This window comes from Homo sapiens, chromosome 12 (genome assembly GCF_000001405.40).
Source record: "Homo sapiens chromosome 12, GRCh38.p14 Primary Assembly".
Taxonomy (NCBI): Eukaryota; Metazoa; Chordata; class Mammalia; order Primates; family Hominidae; genus Homo; species Homo sapiens.
Genome location: NC_000012.12, coordinates 94959569 through 94960359, shown reverse-complemented (window position 1 = coordinate 94960359; position 791 = coordinate 94959569). Strand labels below are relative to the sequence as shown.

At 44.4% G+C, this 791-nt stretch overlaps 1 annotated feature.

The window, feature by feature from the left end:
• Positions 257-517: a silencer, noted in NCBI's record as "fragment chr12:95353619-95353879 (GRCh37/hg19 assembly coordinates)". NCBI's record gives its function as "represses an EF-1alpha promoter that drives an FKBP-Casp9 reporter gene in an ReSE screen in K562 erythroleukemia cells {active_cell/tissue: K562}" and the evidence as "EXISTENCE:reporter gene assay evidence [ECO:0000049][PMID:32094911]".

The following is a 791-nucleotide window of genomic DNA, read 5'->3' as shown; positions in this document are numbered from 1 at the left end:
CACTGCACTCCAGCCTGGGTAACAGAGCAAGACTCTGTCTAAAAAAAAAAAAAAAAAAAAAAAAAAAAGCAGCTGAATAGATTTTCTAATGGGTACAAATTTATATTGGGATTAAAAAATAGAATGAAGCCAGGTGCAGTGGTTCATGCCTGAAATTGCAGCACTTTGGGAGGCTGAGGCCGTGGATCACTTGAATTCAGGAGTTTGAGACCAGCCTGGCTAACATGGTGAAACCCCATCTCTCCTAAAAATACAAACATTAGCTGGGTGTGGTGGTGGGCACCTGTAATCCCAGCTACTGGAGAGATGGTGCCACGGCACTCCAGCACTCCAGCCGGGGCATCAGAGAGAGACTTTTGTCTTAAAAAAAATGAGTCACCAATGTTTAAAATCTGGGAGACTATACATAAGAATCTAGATTTCTGCTTATTCTTGAAAAATTTAAAAAAAAAAACAAAAAACCAAACCTGTCAACATGGGGCCCTTCGCAACAATCCACTACAGCTCAGCATCTAGTGGATAGCTCATTTAAGCTAATTGCAGGCTTTCAGTTTGTTTCGCCTCCTTTTTTTGTCACTTTCTGTCCCTCAAGCTAGCAGGGTGGTTAACAAGAAGAGGAAGGGGTGCTGCCGAGATGGAAGATTGATGAGTCCACGCCTTCCTCCCTACCTGGGAAAAGCCCCGTGAATGGGACCTCTGTGTTTCTAGACTCACGAGGCTGTTGAGAAGGTGTTTCCTTGTCTCTTTGCTCAGGACTGAAGAGGAGGGAAGTCGTCTCTAACAGGGCTGCA